Source organism: Homo sapiens, chromosome 2 (assembly GCF_000001405.40).
Source record: "Homo sapiens chromosome 2, GRCh38.p14 Primary Assembly".
NCBI lineage: Eukaryota > Metazoa > Chordata > Mammalia > Primates > Hominidae > Homo > Homo sapiens.
In genome coordinates, this window is record NC_000002.12 from 113,066,214 (window position 1) to 113,091,193 (window position 24,980).

The window sequence follows — 24,980 nt, forward strand, 5'->3', positions numbered from 1 at the left end:
GGCAGAGCCTAATTAACCAATTTCTCAGGGATGCCATAGCACAGATTTCTCCAATTGGAGGGAAACTATGATTCCATGTCTATGAGATGGAGTTTCACTCTGTCGCCCAGGCTGGAGTACAGTGGTGCCATCTTGGCCCACTGCAACCTCTGCCTCCCAGGTTCCAGTGATTCCCCTGCCTCAGCCTCCTAAGTAGCTGGGCCTACAGGTGCATGCCACCATGCCTGGCTAATTTTTCTATTTTTAGTAGACACGAGGTTTCACCATGTTGGCCAGGCTGGTTTGAACTCCTGACCTCAAGGGATCTGCCTGCCTTAGCCTCCCAAAGTGTTGGGATACAGGCATGAGCCACCATGCCTGGCCTAAAGTCCTTTCAATTCTAAGATTTTTTTTTTGCCCAAGGAGCTTATCTGCCACTATTGTTTCCAACATGTCCTTGGCCCACAGCTTAGAGAGTCTGGTCTTCTTAATTATCTTTTCAAGTGTTTATGACTTAGTTCCTCAGCTAGACTGTGAAACTACTTAACAACAAGGACTGTGTATTGAATGTCTGTGTCACACAGCAGTGTAAATGCTGGGTAAACACTCATTGGTTGCCTGACATAGTAACTCATGCTTTAAGCCTTCCCATAGAAGGGTGAGAGATTGGGAGAGTGGAAGAAGAATGATCACTGGCCTTAGAAAGCAGAAATCTGGTCCCATTTCTGCCCATCTTTTCTCATTTCTCATCCTGCAGGCATCTGAGTCTTAGACCCACCTATCCCACTTCCTCAAGAAGCCCTTGGTGGAACTTTGCAAATGACCAAAGAGGGAGAATTATAATAAGGTTGTTAGTTTCCAGAGAACATTACACCTAAGCTTCTCCACGCTTGTAATGGAGGGATGGATGGATGGATGGATGGATGGATGGATGAATGGATGGATGAAAGGGTGGACAGAAGGGTGGATGGATGGGCACATGGGTGGATGGATGGTTGGATGGATGATGGATGGATGGAAGAATGGACAGATGGGTAGATAGATGGACAGATGGGTGGCCGGGTGGATGGATGGATGGATGGACTGAGTCAAGTAATGTCAATTAGAGACCTGAGTGTTCTTTCCTCTGTGCTCTACTCACACTATCATATTTCCTAGCAGTCCATGGCACATGATGTCTGCTCAGTCTCAGGGTGAATCTGAGGTCAATATCTTTGCAGTTGGGTTTCCCTAGATGTTCTGTCCCATCAAGCTGGTACCAACTAATTAAACCCACTGAAAAGCAGAGACTCCCTTCTCGTCTTTCCAAACAGAGTCACACTCACAGTGCTATCAGCCCCTTCTCTTATTCTGGCTGTCTGGCCACAGCCTGGATTCCGGCATCAGAATTTGTTCTGTCCTTGGGCTTGCCAGACATACTTTCTCTTGTATTCACCACCTCTTCAAGCCTAGGATGGAGCCCCACGGGGCACCAAAGATGTCTGACCCCAGCACTGTTTATCTGGCTGCAAACCCACTAATAACATAGTCAACGACAGTCAGTACAGAGCAGGGGCCCCATACCTTATTTCTGCCAAGGCTTTATGGATGACTCTCTCCCCCTTCAACAAATGCTCCTTAATGTTCCCACCATCTTATTATTCATGCTGTACCAAAGACATTGTGAAATGCCCAGGCTCTTCTTCCTTCATGTCCTGCAGCCAATTATAGAGATTGGTGCAGGCCTGACCCACCTGTACCAGACGGTATAAACACAGCGCAATGCCCTGGAGAAATCAGTTGGAGTCTCCAGGGATCAGGGTTCCAGGAACTCAGGATCTGCAGGTCAGTGATGGACAGGCAATATTCTCTCTCTCTTTTCTTTCTTTTCTACTCTCTCCTGTCAATATCTCTGGTATGCCCTCTATCCCTTCACTCCTCCTGGCAAGCTGTCTAGGTAACAAGGTAGTCCCCTCATATGACATGATGGGACATCAAAAACATTTAGGAGCACATAAAGAGATTTGAGGAGAAGGAATAGGTTAAGCCAAATCAAGATTTCTGAACTACTTAGAACAACTGACTTTAGAAAGTAATCTCAAAAGAAACCATCTGGGCCAATGGTATTCAAACCGTGTTTGGTGGAAGCTTAAGAGATTTTTTGTTTTCGTTTTTTTTTTTTTTGTGCTCCTTGGTAGCTCCTCAGTGTCTTCTTTGTAGGCAAGAGAAATACTAGCAGGGTTCCAAAGTCTCCATTGCTTCCTGTGTCAGCAAAGCAGCTGCCCTTTATCCTTTTTACAATCATTAGAATTCTGCATAAAATTTTATTGTGAAACTTAAAACAGTTTTGAAAGATACCTTACTCAATCTTTCCATCCAATGTTGATAAGTTGAAGGCCCAGGGATAAAAGGTGGCAAAATAAATTGGTAGCAGAGCTAGGTCTAGGACTCAGCCTTTCTATTCAAAGTCTGCTCTGTGTGTTTCTATGTCCTGGCCACAAGGACCAGGGTAGTTCAATTAGGGTGGTTGGAGAGAGCTTCAAGTGAGCTGTAAGCCATGCTTCATGACTTCAAGATCTTATAAACTTTTATAAGGGAAACAAATATCTTTATGTACAACAATAAATAATACAGTAAAATTTAATAGGAGTTCAGAGTAGAGTTACAATAGTAAGGGAAAGATTCATTAAACTCTGAGTCATGGAATTATAAATAGTTTGGCCTAGAAAGAACCTTCATAACCACATAATCTAATCCCATGAATGTATAGTGCTGAAACTGAGGGTTGGAGGTTAAAAGACATAACCCTGTATGTCTAAGCTGTAACTCTACACTGGTAATTAATTTGATAGAACTAGATACTGAACCCATCTATACTGATACTATCTCCAGTGATCTTAATATCAAAAGATCTGAATGGATGACAATGAGAAGGGATGACTTTTGAGGCAGGGAGAACAATGGGACACCTGTGAGTACGTCCACTGAGAAGATAAGAAAGGAATTATGTCGCCAGGAGGTGTGGTTTAGTGTCCATGGAGAAGTGAGATGCTATCACACAAGAAAATCAGTGCCAGACGGTGACAAAACAGTCAGTCACTGTAGATTCTAGAGCTGGGCAGGGATGTGGTGAAAAAAATCTTTAGAACGTGGGTCCACATTCCTCACATAGGTTGGAATGAATGAAAGGCAGAAAAACCGGGAATACAAGTACAGTAGTAATGGCAATTAAAAACACAAAGTTATATTTTAAAGAAATAACCTGTAGGGACTTGATAAGTTAGACACTGAGTCAGGAGAAGTAGGAGATATTGTCAATGAGTCTCAGGTTTTGAATATCACTGGTGAGAGGAATATTATGACAGTGAGAGAAATGAAATTGGGAGGAATGTGTGGGCTGGGAGGAGAAGATAATTAACTTAACCTTAAATATATTTGGTTGGATATCAGCAGGATGTCCAAAGTGGGCTGTCCTGTAGGCTGCAGGAGGTAAAGTGGGATGTGCAGTCTACATTTGGGAGCCATTAGCCCAAGATAATCATTGCAGCTGTAGAAGTCAATGAATTGCAGCTTAATATGATGTGAAATAGAAGTGCTTAGGACCTTGTTAGCCTTAGGGGTGGCCCCAGAAGGAGGTGAAATCTACAGTGGGAGAAAGAGGTGTGAAGGGAGTCATTCAATGTCAAGGGTTCCAAGGAGGCAATGACTAAATATCAAAGGAATCAAAAGAATCTCTGGATCTTGCTCCACAGAAGTTAATATTGGTCTTGGACAGAACATCCCACATAGATACTGTGCAGGAGAATGATGAAGGATAGGACAGGGTGCTGTGCAAAAGAACATGGGGAAAGCCCAAGTTTAGCTGATGGCAGTGTTTGAGCCAGGACAGGTGAATTGCGGAGGTCTGAGAGCCAGATGCCATGTCCAGGGAGAAATGAGAGGAAGAAAAGAGGGATATAGACTGAAGTTCAGTGAAAAGTCATTTGAGGAAAATAGGGAGGGGAAGCTTTGGGGGTGAGGCATGTGGCACACTGGGAGGGGCTTGGCACACAGCAGAGGTTCAGCACCAAGACCCAGGCTCTCTGATGGACCAGACGCTAGCTTCCTACCCTTACTCACTTCATCACAATCTATCAGAACCCAGGCGGAGGGAGCCGAATAGGGGAGCCTTTGGGAAAGACACTGTACATTTTGGCTGTGCCAGAATGGGAGGTTTCTAGGGCCCATGGGATCCAGCTGGACTGGACCAGCATTGAATTTCTTCCAGCTCTTTGAGCTGACACTGACCCAGAGTGGGAGTCATCAGCTTGCTATCCACCTTCACCCAGGGCCCTCCACTTTGTTGCCCCACCTAGATCTGGGCACAGCTACCACACTGCCCACTGTCCTGCTGCTACAACCAAAGAAGCCCCAGTGGTTTGGCCAAGGGGAGCCCATCATCAAGTGGGCTTGCATTGAGGCCATGATGCTGTTGAGTTATCTGTACTGGGGGATTGTCTAGTCCTTTAGGACTCAAAGTGCTGGCCAGGAGGAACCAGCAGCATTGACATCACCTGGTTGCATATTTGAAATGTACAGTCTCAGGCCCCACCCCAGGCCTGAAAAACCAGAATCTGTTATTTTAACAAGAACTGCAGGTGGTTTATATATTTATTAATAAGTGTGAAGAATGGAATGAAAGTACACCAGTTCCCAAGCAGCATGGCTGATTGCTGGAATCACTCCAAGTCCTACTGAATTAGAACCTTCGGCCCAGGAAATAGTAATTATACAGAGTCCCCCAGGTGATGCAGATGGGCAGGCACATTTAGGAGCCAATGACTTTAACTGAACACTTCATTTAAAAAATGTTGAAACTTACTTGATACTACAAAGGAAATTCATGTTCATTATAGGAAAATGTTGATATGTTTAAAAAATTACTCATAAAGCCATAGGTAAGTGGTGCAACAACACGAGTAACATTTCTATGTATGTGTCTCTATGTGTGGATTTAAATAGAATTACAGTGTACACTTGATTTATAATCTGCATTTTTCACCTAATATATTTTGAAAATTTTTATGTCCTAAAACAAGCTTCTATAATATCATCTTTAACAAACACATACATCCTTATTTATTGAATTTTGCTATAATTTCTTAGCCAATTACCTATTACTGAAAATTCAGATTTTTTTCAACTTCTTGCTATTGTAAAAAATTATGCAGTGAACATTTTTGTAAGTAAACATTTGGGCAATCCGTTATTTTTCCTAAGAGTAAGGGAAACACATGCAATCACAAAGTATACAGAATGCTTTAAGACTTTCATTCACAGCACCAACATCCCTCCAGAATTTGCACTTGTTAGTCCCTATTATCCTTCACTCTAAGTCTCAAAGTCATACCCCAAGGCCTGGGGACAGAAAATGACTTGTCCAAAGTGACAGTGACAGACCCAGTACTAAAAGCCACCTTGGCTACAGCCCTGTTTCTGGAACTTGAGAGCTGAGGTGGTTGGAAGCCGTATCCTCAGCACCCACCTGTTCCTTCTCACCTGCCTCCCCAGGGTCCCTCAGCATCTCTCTATTCCTCCCTGAGCCCTATTACTTTCTTCCACCTGCCTTCTTCCTTTCTCTTCTCTCATTTTCTGCTTTCTTATATTTTTTCTTCTCTATTCCCTTCTTATTTGGTGAGAATCAGATCTACTCGGTAAACCTCAGCCCTAGTCATACTTGCGTTACTTTCCTGAGCTAATTTCCAACTCCTGATTAGCTCTGGGTTTATTTCCATGCTAAATTCTGGACTGGCCTTTCCAATGGGTGTTCATTTTAGGGAAGAGCTCTAGGACAGGATAACCCATCGGGAAGGAGCAGAGTCATGTGAGGCTGTGTGGCCTGGCATTTATACAGGGCCACTATCTTCACTGTGCCATTTTCCATCTGGAACAGAATGGGGGAGTTTGGATGGGCTGTTTTCGGCAGTCTTGGCCAAGCACTTCTAGTCACTAGGAATGATGTTTTCCAACTCTCTGGGGAGACCCCACCAGCCTCACTGCTGCTGGAGACCCCTTCTAGTTGTGCTCTCTTCTTTCACTCTGGGCTCTAGTTATCTAACCCTTGGCTAGTTATGGGGGCGGGGGTGTGGTGCCCTGTTGGCCAACAGGGCAGTGGGACTGGGTTTGAGCTGGGCTTATCCTCCAACTGTGAGGGAGGCTACAGCACACTCCACCCCACTCTCAGGGCTGGGAATTGTTGTGGCTCAGCTATTTGGGGGAATCTGTTTTCCAGTTTCTCAGAACCAGCGCAAGCACACACATCCCAGGCTCACACCCCTGGTGGCTGGACTTGCTCCCGGATAGCCTCAGTCAGGGAGAGGCAGAGCTGCCTGGAGCCTGCTGGGCTGGTGGAAGCCTTGGTGGATTCTGGCAGGCCAATTATAGACGAATGGCCTGGGGAACCCGTGCAGCCCTTGGCTGAGTGGTTCTAAGCCCCAGCACGTCTGCCTCTGGCTTCACCCAGCCTCCTTTTCTAACTGCCCTTCTCTCCTCCCCATCAGTGAGGACCAGACACCACTGATTGCAGGAATGTGTTCCCTCCCCATGGCAAGATACTACATGTAAGTTGTCCTGGCATGTCCCTGCTTTCCAAGCCAGGGGGTCAGGGTGGGAAGAGGAAAGGAATGCTGAGTCAGAGGATGAGGCTCCTTCTCACCTTAGAAATTGCAAGTGCCCCATAATTAAGCTTCATCATCACCACAGTAGCAACAGCTCTTTCCTGAACGTCTGCAAGATGCCAGCCAATCTACTGCCTCATCTCTGTTCCAAAAAGTCTGTAAGTGGAGTGTTATTAAACCCATTTTACAGATCTGGAAGCTGAGGCTCAAAGAGGGTAAATAACTTCCCCCATGTCACACAGCTACCAAAAGGCAGAGCCAGGAATCAGACTTCATGTCCTCTGTGCTGCTCCATCCGCCTCTCTGAAATGTCAGAAAGTTTTGAATCTCAATGACAGCATCTTGATGGTGGTCCCTGTGGCCTTTACTCCCAGTGTGGGCTTCTAACACTTACTTACATTTCATCTCATTTGAGATTTGCATCCTTCCTTATCTTTTACTACTTTGTTGTCTGTGATTTTGTCATAAGCTCCTTTCAGGAAGGAGGTGAGGCATAAGAAAAATCAAAGAGGACTCTGGGATGCATTTCCTCTGCCCCTCCCATGGACCCTGTAATGTCCAGGGCTGTGTCCTGGACAAGGTGGGTGGGGAGCAGTCCTGGTCTCAAGGAGGTGACAGCCTGGCTGGGAAGCAAGACACATACATAGGAAGCACATAAATGACAAAGCAGATGTCAGCACTTCAGGGCATCTAATCTGGGTTCTGGTCTCCAAATAGAATGCTGCTGGCATGTGAGTTGTCACATCTGGGTTGTCAAGGTGGCAAGGGGAATGCCAGATAACACGCCCAGGATCTTTCCGGAAGTTTATTTTTATTGTACAAGTGAACCTGCTTTAAATATGTACAGTCATTAGCTAAGGGTATTATCGTTAGCTGTTATTGAGATAGAAAAATCCCCTGGAGGTGGTGGAATTTGTCCAGAGGTTCTGCCCTAAAAGGTTAATGAGAGCTCTCCAGCCCTGACAGCAGCTGACAGGCATCTTTGAAACCAACTAGGTGACTGAGCTAATACCCTGCATGACTTTGAAGCCTTTAAAATATCTGAAAAGCAAATCACACTTCAGTATACACTCAATCTCTGTACTAAAGAGAATAAACATTTATAAACAATTAGGGCAGGCCCAAAAAATTTAAGATAAGGTCCACTGTATCCCAAAGTCATCTGAGCCTCACTAAGAAATTTCTCAGGAAGCCAGGAACATTTTCTTTACCCCTCTGTCAGAGGGCATTGGCTCTCCGTTCTCCTCTGAAGGCCTCCCCAAGCCATGAGAAGGCAGGAAGCACAGCCTCTGAAAAGCAAGAACACAGGAGACCTTCCTTGCTTTAAGGCTGGCCTGGTCTTTACCTGCTCTTGGGAGTGACCATTCCCCTCTTACCACCTGTGAAGGAGAGAAAATCGCCCAAATGCTCAAGGTGGTGATTCAGAGCATGGAAGTGGAAGGGCTTGGGGGCCAGTGGTGCATAAAGGGAATGGGCCATCAGCACTGTCATACTGTTTCAGAATTAAATATGCAGACCAGAAGGCTCTATACACAAGAGATGGCCAGCTGCTGGTGGGAGATCCTGTTGCAGACAACTGCTGTGCAGGTGAGCTTCTGGGGCCTCCACCCCATGCTCCATCTGCCATAGGCCCTCCCTTCTCTTCTTCCCTTTCCTCCCCAGCAGAGGGTCAGCAGCTGCCCCCAGTGACAGTGAGAAGGGCCAGAGAGCAGCTGTGGCCTCTCCTAGCGAGGGGACATGACTCCTGCAGAAGTCCTGGCTCACCGTCCAGTCTGCATGCAGGGCCAGGCCAGGTGTGCCCATGTCCAGTTCCTTCCTGCCTGAGCCTTTACCTGCCAAGAGCCTGCAACATGGGGTTCCCTTGTCCCTTGACTCTTCTCTCTCTTCCCTCCTAGAGAAGATCTGCATACTTCCTAACAGAGGCTTGGCCCGCACCAAGGTCCCCATTTTCCTGGGGATCCAGGGAGGGAGCCGCTGCCTGGCATGTGTGGAGACAGAAGAGGGGCCTTCCCTACAGCTGGAGGTGAGAGGCCTCTCCCCATTCTAGGGGACACTGCAGACCTGGCCTGACCCCTGGGATGCTCTGGCATCTTTGTGCCTATCTGTGGATTCCCAGCCAGGTCCACATGTCCTACTTCCTCAGGTTTCCACCATCTCCCTCTGCACCTAGCACCAAGACCCTTGCCCTCTAGAATCTGCAGAAGGCAGTCCCTTGGGTAAAAACCAGCCCTGTCAGGTCCTTTTTTGGCCAAGCCCCAGAGGCCTCCAGGGCTAACACCTCCATCAGCACTCTCATTCTGCAGCCATCCACCTTGCCCCCACAGGATGTGAACATTGAGGAACTGTACAAAGGTGGTGAAGAGGCCACACGCTTCACCTTCTTCCAGAGCAGCTCAGGCTCCGCCTTCAGGCTTGAGGCTGCTGCCTGGCCTGGCTGGTTCCTGTGTGGCCCGGCAGAGCCCCAGCAGCCAGTACAGCTCACCAAGGAGAGTGAGCCCTCAGCCCGTACCAAGTTTTACTTTGAACAGAGCTGGTAGGGAGACAGGAAACTGCGTTTTAGCCTTGTGCCCCCAAACCAAGCTCATCCTGCTCAGGGTCTATGGTAGGCAGAATAATGTCCCCCGAAATATGTCCACATCCTAATCCCAAGATCTGTGCATATGTTACCATACATGTCCAAAGAGGTTTTGCAAATGTGATTATGTTAAGGATCTTGAAATGAGGAGACAATCCTGGGTTATCCTTGTGGGCTCAGTTTAATCACAAGAAGGAGGCAGGAAGGGAGAGTCAGAGAGAGAATGGAAGATACCATGCTTCTAATTTTGAAGATGGAGTGAGGGGCCTTGAGCCAACAAATGCAGGTGTTTTTAGAAGGTGGAAAAGCCAAGGGAACGGATTCTCCTCTAGAGTCTCCGGAAGGAACACAGCTCTTGACACATGGATTTCAGCTCAGTGACACCCATTTCAGACTTCTGACCTCCACAACTATAAAATAATAAACTTGTGTTATTGTAAACCTCTAAGTTTGTGGTAACTTGCTATAGCAGCCATAGAAAACTACTACAGAGCCTTATTCGACCCTGTGTCCAGTGTTTGATGCAAGAGACTTGGTGAGTTCTTAGAAGGCTACCTGCAGCTTCTCCTCCAGTCCATCTGCTATGGAGCCTCTAGAAACAACCAAGAAGCCCCAGGCAGAACTCAGTGTCCTCTGCACAGGGACAAAGCCCTGGGCTGCTTACAACTTAAATTCTAGCTCAAGTCTTGTGATTTTCTACCAGATACTTCACAGTGAATCCACAATTCCGTGGTTGACTGTTGGTACAGTCCGCTATCTGCCAGGTGCTTAAGTAGTAGCAAGGGCCAGACAATATGTGTGTCCTGGATGTGTTGAGTTTAAGGTTACAGTGGAGTCTCTAAGTTGAGGTGATTTGATATAGCTGGGAGTACAGGGCTGGAATTCAGCTGAGAGTTTGCAATTGGAATTCATACTCATCCTCAGAGCTCAAACGCTTCTCTGTTTCATGGAAAATATTTGACTGGGATCAAGCTAGAGCAGAAAGCCCATGGTATCAGGACTCAGAGAAGGCACAGGCTGCTGGCGCTGTCCCTCTGTTGTATAACTACTTAACATTCACCTAGCGTGTTCTGAGTTCCAACCATGGGGCAGCAATTTTAAGAACATTCTGTTGTCATCCTCAGAATGACTCTTCAAGGCAAGCATTTTCACCTCCATTTGACAGATGAGGAAACTGGACTAAGAGAAGTGAAATAACTTGCTGAAGGTCATATGGGCTATCAGTGTTGGAGCTCAAGATAAAACTTGGTGCAGCTGACCTCAATGCCATTTTGCAAATTTTTATTCCACTTAAGGAGCTGAGGATAGAATGGTGAATAAAACCAAACTTCCTTGTAGCTGATAATTGAAAGGGAGAAACACTAAACAAGCAAATAAACAAACAAGAAAACAGAAAGGGCACTTTTCATGATTAGAAGGTGAGGGCAGCAGGTATTCAATGGAAATATTAGATGGGGGGGTCAGGGGAGGTTTTTTTTTTTTGTTGTTGTTGTTGTTTTTTTACTTTTTTGAAGAGGTAACATCTGCACTGAGGTTATGGACAGGAAGGAACTGTGACTAGAAATAATCAAGGCAAAAGAGTAGCAAATGTGTTGGCCCTGAGACAGAAAGGAGCTGGTATGTTCAAGTAACAGTAGAAGGCTGGGGTGGGGGCTGGAGCCTGGAGAGCAAGGGAGGAGTAGGCAGTGAGCAAGACCAGCAGGGTTGGGTCATGTGTGGCCTTGAAGGCAAAGTACAGGCTTCCAAGTATTAAGTGTGACGGGAGCTACACGATAGGCTCTGATAATGTTTAGGTTCTTTCTCTGAGCTGCCTCTCCACAGCCTGTATGTGCCCCGGGAAATTGATCACCTGGCTGGCCCATTATAACTATGTGTTTACATGGTGGGACTCAATTTTATGTCAGCTGTGGCCAGAACAGCTGCTGGTAAATGCAGAAGAGGCTGAGTAAATGCAAAATCTTAAACAAGTTAATGGATAATCACACTTGATTCCTATTCCTCCTCCTCCTCCTCCCCTTCTTCTTCTTCTTCTTCCTCTTCTTCTTCTTCCTCTTCTTCCTCCTCTCCTCCTCCTCTTCCTCCTCTTCTTCTTCCTCCTCCTCCTCCTTCTTCTCCTTCTCCTCCTCCTCCTCCTTCTCCTCCTCCTCCTCCTCCTCCTCAGGACAGGGTCTTGCTCTATCACCCAGGCTGGAGTACAGTGGTGCAATCATGGCTCACTGCAGCCTTGACCTCCTGGATCAAGCCATTCTCTGCCTCAGCCTCTTGAGTAGCTGGGACCACAGGCATGCATCACCATGCCCAGCTAGGTTTTTTTTAATTTTTTGTAGAGACTGGCTCTCGTCATGTTGCCCAGGCTGGTCTTGAACTCCTGGGCTCAGGTGATCTTCCCACCTCAGCCACCCAAAGTGTTGGGATTACAGGTGTGAGCTGCTACATCTGGCCAATCACTTGGTTCTTATGGGACATTCATCATACTGTGTGAGAAGAGCTATGGTACCAGGTAGAGACACCATTGTAGCCTAGAGGTGGAGCTGGCAGGGAGGGCTGGGCAGGGCTTCACAGAAGAAAGAGCATATAATCTGGGCCTCAGAGAAAAAGCAGGTGTTTTCCAGGCAGAGAACGCAGGGATGGGCATCCCAGGCAGAAAAACTGCTCAGGAAGGTGTGATGATGGAGAAGAGCTCCCAGCACATCTGAGGTGAGTCATCAATGTGGCTGGGACCCAGGGCTTGGACTGAGGAGTGGCTGCAAATTCACATGAGAAGATGGGTGGCTCCTGATTGCTAATGCCTTGTGAAGGAGTTTTTATCTGGGAGGCCCCAAGGAATCATCCAGGTATTTCAGGCAGGACCCAGATTTTAATCCTGGGCCCCTCAGATCAGCACTGGGCCAACACAGATGCTACTGGGTCCTCAGCTCTTCTCAGCCACCCCCTCCCTCCCCTTCTCCCTCCCTGACTTCTGTTTAGCACTGCCCCGGGGTCAGCTTCCATGCTGTGATTTCACAGTCAGCCTGACCCCTGCTTCATCTTCCCTGACCAGTTCATCACCTTCATGCATGTGTTGAAAGACAAACTTTGGCATATTAAAATTTTAAGGAGTTTATTTGAGCAGAGAATGATTCATGAATCACAAGGTGCCAAATTGCAAGTGATTCAGGGCTCCACCCAGGGGCTACCGGAAAACCATTTATAAGTTGTTCAGGAAGCAAAAGGAAGAAAAAAATTCATTGGTTAAGTGGAAAATCCTTAGTTGCAGGTTAGTCGGCGGTTCCTGATTGGCTAAGCTTAAGTTTCGTTTTCTTAGTCAATGACCATTCACTCTGGGTTGGGTTTTAGTTTACTTAGGCAGGAACCCAACACGCTGGAGTCATCTCAGCCTAATACCTTCCCAATTAATTATTTTAACACATGGTAACTCATTTCTGCTGGCCCTTCCCTTGTGAACTGTGCCCATGGACCACCCAGGCAAATGCAGGCCTCCTCCTACTTACTAGTGGTGCTGTTCCAAGTTGAATCATGTTCTCTATATAACTAAAAAAAATTTTCACATGTAAAATATGCCAATTCTCTAACAGTGCACAGAAGAGGAAGAGGACATAAAGACTTAGAAGACATGTCTCTATGACTGAAGGACACATAGTGCAGATGGGAAAACCAGACCTTGTGAATAAAAGCTCATATTTATTGACTGCAAGACACTCCAAATAGCACTTAGAATCAAATTCTGCAGGACTGTGGTAGAAATAGTGATGGGACTTTCTGGCACTAGGGTTTAAAAGTAAGGAATGGAGGCAATTTCTGACAGGTGCAGTTCAGCGATGCCAAGAGTATTCTTCTCCCACGCCCCAAGGCTCATTCCTTAAATTCCTTCTCCTCCCTAGAAACCACACCAAAGTCTTCACTCCAAAACCTAACCAGGCTAGAGGGTTATTATTATGTGAATTCTAGGGAGAGGTACACTTTAGGTCTTATCCACTATTTACATCTCAGAATGAACTGGTAGGTCCAGAGAGAGAGCAAACAGGCAATTAAACACAGTGTGGCCAGCTTTCGGTCAGGTAGCACCAGGAGCAGGGTGGGTGGGGAGGGTGAATGTGTGTGTCTGTATGTGCATGACGTGTCCATGTATGTGTATGTGTGTGCTGTGTGTGCATACGTGCTTACAAGAGACTCCAGATGTAGGCAGCAGTTGATTCACAGGGGGCCTAGTCTTTGTTCCAAGAAGCTATGGAACAACTTCACACAAGAGGGCGATGAACCCAGGGTCTCCTATAACCTGTGTTTCCTAAGTCATTCCACCAGGATTCAGAATCTAGTCACTCTTCCCTTTGACCCAAATTTTCATCTCGCGATCCTAGGCCCACCTCTCGCATCACAATAGCCCCTAGGAATACCGGCTCAAAACATTGTACAGAAAACTCCGCAGGACACACAACTCATGTCAGTTCTAGGGAAATCTAAACTCAGATTTAAGGAGGAAACAGTAAAAGTGAAGGAAAATGCAGACAACTTTAATGGATACTAACTTTTCCTTGATATAATTCTCTAAAATATACAGCTACTTCATAAATGAACTTGACAGAAACAAGTGTAATGAATATAAACAGTAAAGTTAACATCTTGGACTGAAGCACTGGCATTCGGTTTACCTGACCTTATTTCTGGTTGGATTTTACATTTGCATAACTAAAAGGGTTCACCAGAATTCTACCAAAACACAGTCTATCCCCAGAGCAGATTCCAATCTCCGCCCTCAAAGGCACAGACTCCACGCTATCTAGAGGCTTGATCCCCCTGCCCATTTCTGAGGCTGGGAGCCTGCAGTGTGGCCTTTGGGCTAAAGATGGCGACAGAGATCAATGTTGGCGCTGCCTTTTTGGGGCTAGGTTCTGAATGAGCTCTAACATTTAATTCTTCAAATACTTAGCAGCTACTGTGTGTCAGCCCTTGTGCCTCAAATCCCCGCCTCACTTACAGTAGATGCATCCTTCCACGCAATGCGTGAGAGTAGAACTGGATCCTGTGATGACTTCAGGAAGTCCGGGTGTCCATTCTGTTGGGTAACAATTTTTGTTAGCTCCCCCTTGTCACGAGGGACACAGCCCCTGCTCTCTAGGAGTTTGGAGCTTAGGAGGGAAGGTAGATATTAGACACATACTCATTTCGACATTTTTCCCACCTATGTGAAGGAGCATCACACGAATGCTTGATCCCTTCTCCCCATGACAGAGACGTTGCTGTGAATCTGTCTCCTGTACACTCATTCCCTCCAATTCCCTTGGATGTTCTTGCCCAGGCTCTGGTCACAGAATTGGGTGACAAAGGATGCTGGGAGCCTTGAGTTCTAGCAGAGGCTCTTCCATACTGGAATATTTCTCACAGACATTTTCTGAAGGTCCATAGTCACAGGACCCATGATACAAAAAATAGCACTGGTTATGTAAGTTTGTCTGCATAAAGGACAGCAGACGTAGGTATCAGCTAGTTATGCATTTTGTAGACTGGTTCCAGTGCACACATTCCAATGAGTGCTCATAGGTTTATGTGAGAAAATGTGTTATTTTTGATACCTTCTTCCACATGCCTCTCCCTGTTCACACCCTCTGCTTCAGACACTGGTCTCCTCACAATTCTCCAAAGACACACTCTAGGCACGATGCTACTCCAGAGCTCCAGCAGTAGCCTTGTGTTTTGAACACTTGTTCCCCAATTACCTGCCTGGCTTGTTTCCTCAGTGAGGCCTACGCTGGTTACCCCCGTGAAAACTGCAATATGCACCCCCTCAAATCTCAGCACCCTTAGATTACCTATGGTACTATCACATTCTAATACACTCTATAATTTATTTTTTATTTACTGTACTTTTTTTCCTTTATCCTCCACTAGAATGCAAGATCCACGGGCAGAGGATTTTCTTTTTGCCTTGTTTATGTATTACCAGCATGTACAAGCATTTATGACGTGTCAAGCACTCAGCAACATTTGCTGAATGAAGAAAAGAACTCAAATAGGATTCCCAAAAGGGTCCTACTTAGAGGTCATGCTCTGCAGAGACTAGCACCAGGGCCCCTGTCCAGATTTATTAGGAAAGACTGTGGCATCAGGTGGGAGTAGTGGGAAGAGGGTCTAGTCTCCAGAAGGAGGGCTGGTGAGGGGTGGACAGGATATCAGGGTTTCCAGTCAATATCTGAATCACTTTGCATGGTGTCTCAGTTATCTATTGCTGAGTAACGAACCAACCCACAATGCAGTGATTTAAAACATCAGTGATTCATTATTCCTTCTGATTCTGTGAGTTGACTAGGTGGTTCCTCTGCTGATCTTGCCAGGGCTCTGTTGCACTCAGCTGGAGGCTCAACTCAGCTGGAAAGTCCAAGATAGTCTCTCCCATGTCTGGCTGTTGGTGCTGGCTGTTGGTTGGGGGCCTTGGCTATTCATGTGTCCTCCCATCCTCCAGTAAACTGGAATGACTTTCTTACATGGCTATCTTAGTGTTGCTTCTCAAAAAGGGAAAGGTAGAAGCTGCAAATGCTCTTGAGGCCTAGGGTCCAAAACTCACATTTGTCAGGAAGGACTGTGGCAGTGGGTGGGAGTAGTGGAGAAAGGGTCTAGTCCCCAGAAGTGGAGCTGGTGAGGGTGGATGGGATACTGGGGCTCCCAGCCAATGTCAGAAGCACTTTGTCATAACCTGCCTCATGTTATTCACTCCTAGCATAGCCTGTTGGTCTAAGCAAGTCCCAAGGCCAGCCCTGATTTATGGAGACGTGGGTAGAGAAATGGATTCTTCCTCTGAAGGGGAAGATCTGCAAAGAATCTGTGCCCAAAGTCACTGTAAACAAATGGAAGAGGAGGGGGTAAAGCACAGGCTGACTGATTCGTGAATGTGCACTCCTGACCATCATGCTATGCTGCCTCCATGAGAAACTCTGACATGGCTGTGTAGCCAGCAATTCATTCATTCATTCTTTCATCAAATGTTACTGACCACCTGCAATGTTCAAGTGCAGAACTGGGCAGGGGGCATACAGAATTGAATGGGGTCCAAGATTTGGTGCTCCTAAGGAAGATGAGAAAGCCAGCCTTAGCCAAGCTCTCTCAAATCTTCTTCATCTTGCTCTGTGGTTTTAATGCTAACTAGGAACCCAAGGGAGAGGGTCAGCCCTTGGAATGTCTTCCAGAGGAAGGTGAAGCCCAGCTGGAGTCCCAGTCTGTGGCAAGTAAACTGGGAGAAGCAAGGACAGGCTTAAGGCTTAGCTTCTGTGCCAGGGGCTATGTGTAAGGTTTGACTTCCTAGCCTTCTCAGGTTCACACACTACTCCTCATTCCTTCATGCCCTCCCAAGCCCTGAATTCAATGTTGGGCAACAGTGAGAGCTTAATCAATGGCTTTGAATGATTCTTAGGCAAGCTGAGAGGAATATCAACAAATGTTTTATCCGATATTCCCAAGAGTAGCCTGACCCAAATCCAAGATTATCTCCATGGCCTGCCCCTTTACATCAACTCAGAGGATGCTGCTGACATTATATATTTGCATGCTTACTATGTTAAAAATGTACTGTCAGGAAACCAGAGGCTCTCAAATTATCTTAACCACTTATATCAGGATCAGCTGAAATGCTAGTTAAAAATGAAGATTTCTGGGACTCTACCCCTTACTGGCTAATACAAAATTGCAAAATTGTGGAGCTGAGCCTAGAAAGCTGAATTTCTAGGCAGCCTGTGGGTTATTCTTATGAAGAGTCTGAGGATCTCCAGCCTCTACAGAACGTCACTTCTTCCACGTCCATTTCTGCCACTGATGCTGAATAGGCAGAATCCCTCCTTACTACCACCACCTGTAACATGTGCTTGTCACATGAGTTAAAAATAAAGCCCCCTGTTGTAAGTCGCAAGTCAGACCCACAGAATTTAGATCCCAATCAGGGAACGTGACGCTTGGTACGTTTATGTTCTTATGACAAAAAAGGGAATAACTAAAACAGGAAGTTGAAAATCAAACTTTGACTTTCCTATATGGAACCATGCGCCAAATTCTGACCCTCTCTGTCACTCTCTGCTCGTGTGCGTTAGTCATAGGAGGTCATGGAAAATCATCCTCATTCCTCATTATGAGAGGCTGCTCATCAGTCATTACCCCTACACCCTGGCGGGGAGGCAAAGTAGGTGACCACGCATGCAAATTCAGGGAAGTTTGGCTCAGAGAGTTCACATCCCCTCCTAACACAAGAGACAGAGACACCAAAGGTTTGGAATCCAGTAGGGGTGGGAGATGCTTTGCCCAGGGCTGTCTAGTATGGAGTTAAGAATATGTTTTTTGGGGGTGAGTGTTCAAGGTAGATGATGCTTCCTTCCCTGTTCTGGAGGTTGGGTCCTCTTCCATAAGGTGTTGTCCTTTGGTACAGCTTTGTTGTACCATATAGATGGTACCTTCTGGGCCTGGACAATCACTTGACCAAAGGGATGGGAGCTCTTGCTCTGAAGAGATCCTGACAAGAGAATATAGGTGTGGCAGAGCCCATTCCTACTCCCTGCACACCCTGCTGGCAGTAGGTAGACATTTACCCCTTTATCGGTGTTCTTATATGGCACCAGACTGTGAGCTCCTAAGGGGATGGGGCCTTGGCATTTTTATTTCTAGATAGAGTCTTGCCTCACAAAAGGACAGAGATACAGTCTAAGAAATGTGTCATTAGGCGATTTTGTTGTGTGAATATCACAGAGTGTACTTACACAAACCTAGATGGTACAGCCTACTACACACCTAGACTATATGGTATAACCTCTTGCCCCTAGGCTATAATCCCGTACAACATGTGACTGTACTGAATACTGCAGGCAACTGTAACATGATGGTAATGATGTGTATATTTAAACATATGCAAGCATAGAAAAATATAGTAAAAATATGATATTATAATCTTACAGGGCCACCGTTGTGTAGACAGTTCATCGTTGAGTGAAACTTCATTATGTAGCACGTGATTGTTCTCATAAATGAACATGAAATGATTGGGCCACCTTATATAGAAATGCAGGGTTTCCACTGTGTAACTCTAGAGGGCACCACTCACATGTTGATATCATAGAATTGAATATTTACTATAACAATATTATGACAGTTGGCTATAAAGTGCCTTGTACTAAAAAAAAAAAAAGGCCAGCATTTCTAATAACTTTCTAACTGATGGGAATAAAATCAGAACAGGCAGCCTGTTGCTAATCCACTCCAAGGAGCCACAAGTTGTTAAAGCAAAGAGCACAGCCAGATCAGGAAATCCATTAAGGCAAGCTACAAGCCGGGTCTTTATCAGGAGGGCAATATGGAGTCACCATGGATGATTTCAAGCAGGGGAGTGACACGATCAGATTGACCTCCTAAAATAGTTGCTTCTGGCTGCCAACTGGAGCATGGATTATTGGCACAGCCACTCAAGTGGTTTCCTTCAAGAATTGTTAGACACTCATCATCTCTCAACTGCAGGAGATTTGAGAGAAGTTAATAGATTTAAGGCATCTTTGGGAGGTAGAGTTAATAGATTTTGGTGGTTTATTGTAGGCAGAGTGAGAGAGTCATTGTGAAGGTTTCTTGTTTTGGTGTCTATTGGTAGGTGTCTCTACTAATGAGTGGTGGTTCTATTGATGGGTGGTGATTCTATTCACTGACATAAGCAATGCTGGAAAAGAAAGTGGTAGTTTGGGAGCAGAGAGTGTGGAAATCATAAGCTCTGCTTTTGCCTATGTTGAATTTTGAGGTGTATGTGAGCATCCAGGTAAAGGATTTCAGTGGGCAGTTACATATGCAGATATGGAGTGCAGGAGAGAAATTTGGAATGGAGATATAAATTTCAGAGTTTTCAGCACAAAGAAGATGAACTTATGAGGTGAATGAAATGAAGAGAGAGGTTAGTTTAAGAGAGGAGATGGCCCAGGAGAGAGAGATATTTGAGAGGCAGGCAGAAGATGAAAAGCCTTCTATGGAGGTTTAGAAGGAGAGGCCTGGAGAGGCAGAAGGAAAATCAGGAGAAGTGGAATCATGGAAGTCTATATAAGAGGGCTTTAGGGCGAGAGCCAGCAGTGTCGGATGCTAACAGTAGATCAAGTCCAGAAAAGTTTGAAAAGTGTCCACTGGATCTAGGAGCTAAAAACTCCAGAGTGCCTTCAGAAGAGTGATTGTGCAAAAGTGAAGATGAAGGGTCTTCAGGAGTGAGTGGAAAGTGAGAACACAGAGACAGTGAGTAGGGAGAATTATTTTAATAACTTTGGCTGTGAAGGGGAGGAGAAAGAGAAGGGTGTAGCTAGAGGGAGTCATGGGGCTAAGGAAAGAAACTGTCAAGATGTGGCAGGTTTAAACAAGTGTGAAAGCTGATAGGAAGGAAGGAGCCAGTGAAGGACAGGTTGGAAAAAACAGGGCGAGGTTACAGTATGAGTACATGCATGAGCTCTCGAGCAAACCTGCCTGGATTCAAATTTCCACTCTGTTATTTCTCATCAGAGAAAATAGAATGAAATTGATGTACTCAAATTACTGAAAAAATTATAAGTGTAGGAGAGTCATGCTTTTCTTATTTTCTAATGAATCCGGGAGCAAAGAAAAATGTCAGTGTCTGGCTGGGCGCAGTGGATCACACCTGTAATCCCAGCACTTTGGGAGGCTGAGGCGGTCTGGTCACCTGAGGTCAGGAGTTCGAGACCAGCCTGGCCATGTTGGTGAAACCCCGTCTCTATTAAAAATAAAAAGTTAGCTGTGTATGGTGGCATGCACCTGTAGTCCCAGCTACTAGGGAGGCAGATGCAGGAGAATCACTTGAACCCAGGAGGCAGAGGTTGTAGTGAGCTGAGATCATGCCACTGCACCCCAGCCTGGGTGACAGAGCAAGACACCATCTCAAAAAAAAAAAAAAAAAAAAAAAAGGCTGGGCACGGTGGCTCACACCTGTAATCCCAGCACTGTGGGAGGCCGAGGTGGGCAGATCATCTGAGGTGGGGATTTCGAGACCAGCCTGACCAACATGGAGAAACCCTGTCTCTACTAAAAATACAAAATTAGGTGGGCACGTTGGCACATGCCTGTAATCACAGCTACTCAGGAGGCTGAGGCAGGAGAATTACTTGAGCTGGGCAGGTGGAGATTGCAGTGAGCCGAGATCATGCCATTGCACTCCAACCTGGACAACAAGAGCAAAACTCTGTCTCAAAAAAAAAAAGTGTCAGTTACCTTCTTTAGAATTAGCAATAAATCTTTTCAGTATTTATACCATTAAAAATTTATATCATTCAAAATATGAAAATACTTTTTCAGTATTATTTCCATTTATCTATTTATCTATGTTTCATGTATCTATTGCTGTGGAATAAACCACCCTTAAACTTAATGGCTTAAAAATAGAAATCATTTAATCTGCGCTCGCTTCGGCAGCACATATACTAAAATTGGAACAATACAGAGAGGTTTAGCATGGCCCCTGCACAAGGATGGCATGCAAATTCATAAACCGCTCCATAAGAAATAACTTTTTTTTTTTTACAAAAGAAAATACCTATTCTCCTTTGTGACTCTGTAATTGGGCAGGATTCAGTGGGGACATAGGGACATCTTGTCTTCACTCCACTCAACATCAACTGAGAGGAGTCTAAGGGTGGGAACTGGACTGGTCAGATGACTGCCTTACTCACAGGTCTGGAGATTGATGCTGGATCTCTGCTGGGACCTCAGCGGGACTGTTGGCCAAACCACCTTTGCTTGGCCTCTTCATGACACCTGGGCTTCCCCACAATATGGCAACTGGGTTTCAAGAGTAAGGGCTAGGAGAGAGAGAGAGTCAGGCAGAAACTATATAACTTTTGATGACTTCGCTTCAGAAGTCATTCAGCATAACTTTTGCCTCGTTCTATTCACTAATGTCAGTCTGCATTCAAAGGGAGGAAAATCATACTCCACTTCTTAATGAGAAAAGTCTCAAAGAATTCATGGGCATGTTTTAAAATCAGAACAGCAACAAGTTGCCAATTAAGATAACAAATTACAGGTTTCATTTTCAGGGTTGTTTCTACAGTACTTTGAAACATTTTCTGAAATCTTCAGTGTCTTACACTGATTAATAAACATAAGGAATGTACGTTCATAATATATCCCTCTTTTGTTCAAATCTTTGCAATGACATATTTATTTTAACTAGGAACAGAAAAGTTGGAGATGGCAGCCAGGTGCAGTGGCTCATGCCTGTAACCCCAGCACTTCGGGAGGCCAAGGCGGGTGGATCACGAGGTCAGGAGCTCGAGACTAGCCTGGCCAACATGGCAAAACACTGTGTCTACTAAATATACAAAAATTAACAGGGCTTGGTGTCATGTTCCTGTAATCCCAACTACTCGGGAGGCTGAGGCTTAAGAATCACTTGAACCTGGGAGGCGAAGTTTGAGCCGAGATCGTGCCACTGCACTCCAGCTGGGCAATAGGATGAAACTCCGTCTCAAAAAAAAAAAAAAAAAAAAAAGAAAAACAGAAAAGTTGGTGACAGCAGTGGGTATTTGTACAGGTCTTTATAATGCACAGAAAAAAAGTGCTAGTCTTGCGGCTGTTCTCAGTTTAATGCCTCCCAGATGAATTCTTTGAAAAAGTTTATGTTGCAAAACCACTGAAGCTGTGAGGGAGTGGGGGCACCTGTATCAGAGAACTTTTTGTTTGTTTGTTAATTCTGAAGACTAGAAGCACTATAAGCGATATTATTTGTATGATAAGCAACAGCTCAGGCCTTTGGGCTCTTAAGATTTTCTCAGCCGAAATGAAATAAGAACGAAAAGCAGTTTCATTTAATAATAGTGGGATAAAGAATATAGAGCATTTTTCTTCCCCTTTGTGTAAACATGGTTAAGTAAAGTGGGTGTAACAGTAATAAGAACCACCACTTCACAGGCTTCTATGGGGAAGACTGGGTTCACTCATGCACTCCAAGCCCTTAGCACAGAGCCAGGCACACTGAGGTATGACTAAGTGACTGAGGATGACTGATGATGTGAGAGCCTTGAGGAGCCTGAATGGGACACAAAGCAAATGCAGAGGGACTGGCCTTGGGTAAGAGTGGGCTCCTGCTTCTATTGAATGAGAGAGAAGAGAGAAAGCATAAAGAAAGTTTCAATAGGTTTTAATGTGGGCTAATGGGGAACTGAGAAAGTGTCCTTCTCCTAGCTTCTATTACTTTGCTATAAGTGAGGAAAAAGGAGATGGGCTAGGAGATTGAAGTCAGTGGAGTAGGCTGGAAATATTTTCTGTGGAGATGGGTCAGCCAGCTCATTATAGAAACATGAAAGGTTTGCTAAGCAAACATGGGGCCAGTTAGTTTTGGATATCATCAGTGTGGGGCAGTGGCTTTGGGTTAGTCTGGGAGGGTGGACCTTGGACAGATCCAGAGCTTTCCACACAGTGCAATGGGAGGGCAAAGGAGCCAAACAGTGGAGAATATTGATGAAAGAATGGTCCAAGTGAGCAACTGAAGGAAGTGAAGACCTCCAAGGAGGAGGTGGTAGAGCAAATTTGAGCAGGTTAAAGGATGGAAGGTTTCTGTGTGGTTGAAATGCCTGAGCAATGGGAATAATGAAGAATGAGAAAGAGAGAGAGAGAGAACAAGACTGCTATCGGTTGTGGTCAGAGGGTAGTATAGTAATTTTTACAGAAAGGTCATGGTGTTAGTCATCCAAATGGACATTAAGACCCCTTGGGGATTAGGACAAAGAAGAGAGCTAGGTTCCAGTGACAAATATTTAATAAATAGGGGAGAATGACTAGGCAGTCAGTAGCTGAAAGCTACAAAGAGAGATATAGGATGGTAAAAACGTTAAAGGACTGATGCTTTTGTTTGTTTTTGTTTTTGTTTTGTTTTACAAAGGCTGGAGAAGTCACAATCTGAAAATGTCAGTAGAGAGATGACCCCATGCTGGCCCTGTGATATCCAGATGGTAGGGGCATGAGCTTCTTCTCCTTGAGAAAGATGCAGGGCAAACATGGTCCCAGAGGATAGCCAGGTCTCCGCCAAGGCACAAATTGAGAAAACAGTTAGAAAAGAGAATGGAAAAAAATAGATAGGTTTATTCATTTAAAAAGTAACTATCAAGCACCTGCTCTGTGCATGATACTGTTTTGGGCGTTGAGATGCATCTGTGAATAACACATAGTAAGGAATTTACATTCTAGCGGTAGGAGACAGAGAATAAATGCCTGAGCAAATACATACTCAATATAAATTTGGATAGTGATACAGGCTGTGCAGAAAAAATATCTGCTATTAGATGAACAGTGAAGGTGAGCAGAGAAAGTGGAGGTTTGCTACAAATTGTGTTCTCCAAAGGAAATGGAGAGTGCTGTGGGAGTTGTGTTGACAGTAACCCTAGATAGATTTTATTGTATTAATGCTTGCTAGAATAAATAGCTCTACTGAATAGCAGATGGAGGAAAGCACACTGGGCTTTGCAAATCATCACTGTGATGCATGTAATTTTGCAGCACTGCCAGGGTTTCTCACAGCAACTCATTCCCATTGTGGCCCCTTAGGGAAAGCTGTGACCAGTGCAAGATCTCTCCTACCTGCATGACCTCAGGGCCAGCAACAGACAATTGCAACTCCTGCCCACAGACTCCATGGGTCAGGGAACCACTGGAAAGCAAAGCAGACACTTGCTGTATCAGGGTTGGAGGAAGCCTTTGAGGCCCTTTGCATGCAGCTCAGAGAGGAATGGCATTCTCAGGTTGAGCAAAGGGAAGTGGCTAGCACTTCAGACATGACACTCATTGAAGCTTGGAGGAGACTTTTTTAGGGCAAAGAAAGGGAAGTTTTATTTCACTCATGGTTAGTAAACATAAGACATGTACATTCTTAATACATCTCCAAATAACATTAGAGGAAGACCAGGAACAATGCTGAGGGGATAGAGCTATAACCGACTGGGGTGAGAAGTGGGGGCATTTGGGAAGGGTGAGAAGTGGGGGCATTTGGGAAAGAGTCCTCATTCCAAGTGGCCTCAAGGTCAGTATCTGGGCTCCTGTGATTCTCTCTGATGCTCTGATTGGCCACTGCATTGGAAATGCCACTCAGGCTCAGATTGGTGCCCTCCTTGTGTGTTTTTTCTTTATCACATATCCTACAGTCCACTTTCCTGATTCTCTCCTAACATGTGCCTCTTCTTGAGATCAAGAGGAAGATATTATTTTCTAGTTACAGTTAAAGTTTTTCCTTTTTAAAATGACCAAATTAATTCATTGATACCTCATTTATTCCCACCTTTTGAGCTCTCATTATATTCAAGACACTATTGTAAAAAATGGAGACTTAAAGATAAAAATAATGTTATAATTCACCCAGCAGGAAGAAGAGATAATTTTTTTGAATGACGCTACAAAATAATGTAAATGTTGGGTTTCCCTTTACTCCACATTCTCTCCTTCAGGCATCTCCAAGCTTCAACCATAACTGACAGATCTTTATCTTTAGTGCATTTTTCTCTTCTAGCTTCCAGGTTTGTACATCCAGTTTCCAACTGGACACTCCATTTAGCATCCCATCTGCATCTCAAACACAACACAACTCAAATGGAATTAACCGTCTCCCTGACTACCCTTAGAATCAATCTGTTCCTCCACCTCTTGTATCATCTTTCTCAATGAATGATGCTATTGCTGCCCGCCAGTTATCTAAGCCTTTAAATAATAATACCCTTGATCCCTTCTACATTCAATAGTCACTTCCCATATTTAGTAGTTACTAGGTCCTATTGAGTCTACCTCCTAAACATTTCTAG

At 45.1% G+C, this 24,980-nt stretch overlaps 1 protein-coding gene and 1 pseudogene across 2 annotated transcripts, besides 2 other annotated features; both read left to right on the plus strand.

Annotated features, from left to right (window-relative positions):
• IL1F10 (interleukin 1 family member 10) lies at positions 1,757 to 9,630 on the plus strand. 2 transcript variants are annotated; one of them, NM_173161.3, is made up of 5 exons: positions 1,757 to 1,803; positions 6,498 to 6,557; positions 8,116 to 8,201; positions 8,510 to 8,637; positions 8,939 to 9,630. In NM_173161.3, the coding sequence occupies exons 2-5, from the start codon at positions 6,526 to 6,528 to the stop codon at positions 9,149 to 9,151; spliced, it is 459 nt and encodes a 152-aa protein (NP_775184.1). In that variant the 5' UTR covers positions 1,757 to 1,803; positions 6,498 to 6,525; the 3' UTR covers positions 9,152 to 9,630. The 2 variants fall into 2 exon arrangements, with proteins under 2 accessions (NP_775184.1, NP_115945.4); NM_032556.6 differs by lacking the exon at positions 1,757 to 1,803 and having other exon boundaries at positions 6,105 to 6,557.
• Positions 11,657 to 12,856: an enhancer, noted in NCBI's record as "P300/CBP strongly-dependent group 1 enhancer chr2:113835447-113836646 (GRCh37/hg19 assembly coordinates)". NCBI's record gives its function as "activates an origin of replication core promoter dependent on BRD2, BRD4, P300/CBP, MED14 and CDK7 cofactors, with strong dependence on P300/CBP, by STARR-seq in HCT116 cells {active_cell/tissue: HCT116}" and the evidence as "EXISTENCE:reporter gene assay evidence [ECO:0000049][PMID:35650434]".
• Positions 20,594 to 20,693, plus strand: RNU6-1180P (RNA, U6 small nuclear 1180, pseudogene; annotated as a pseudogene).
• Positions 22,379 to 22,673: an enhancer, noted in NCBI's record as "tiled region #10370; HepG2 Activating DNase matched - State 5:Enh". NCBI's record gives its function as "activates a minimal TATA promoter and a strong SV40 promoter by Sharpr-MPRA in HepG2 cells {active_cell/tissue: HepG2}" and the evidence as "EXISTENCE:reporter gene assay evidence [ECO:0000049][PMID:27701403]".

Coding starts and splice junctions, on each gene's coding strand:
- IL1F10 (NM_173161.3), top strand. CDS start 6,526: ATGTGTTCCCTCCCCATGGCAAGATACTACAT. Junction 6,558..8,115: donor CCCATGGCAAGATACTACAT/GTAAGTTGTCCT, acceptor ATACTGTTTCAG/AATTAAATATGCAGACCAGA. Junction 8,638..8,938: donor GGCCTTCCCTACAGCTGGAG/GTGAGAGGCCTC, acceptor TTGCCCCCACAG/GATGTGAACATTGAGGAACT.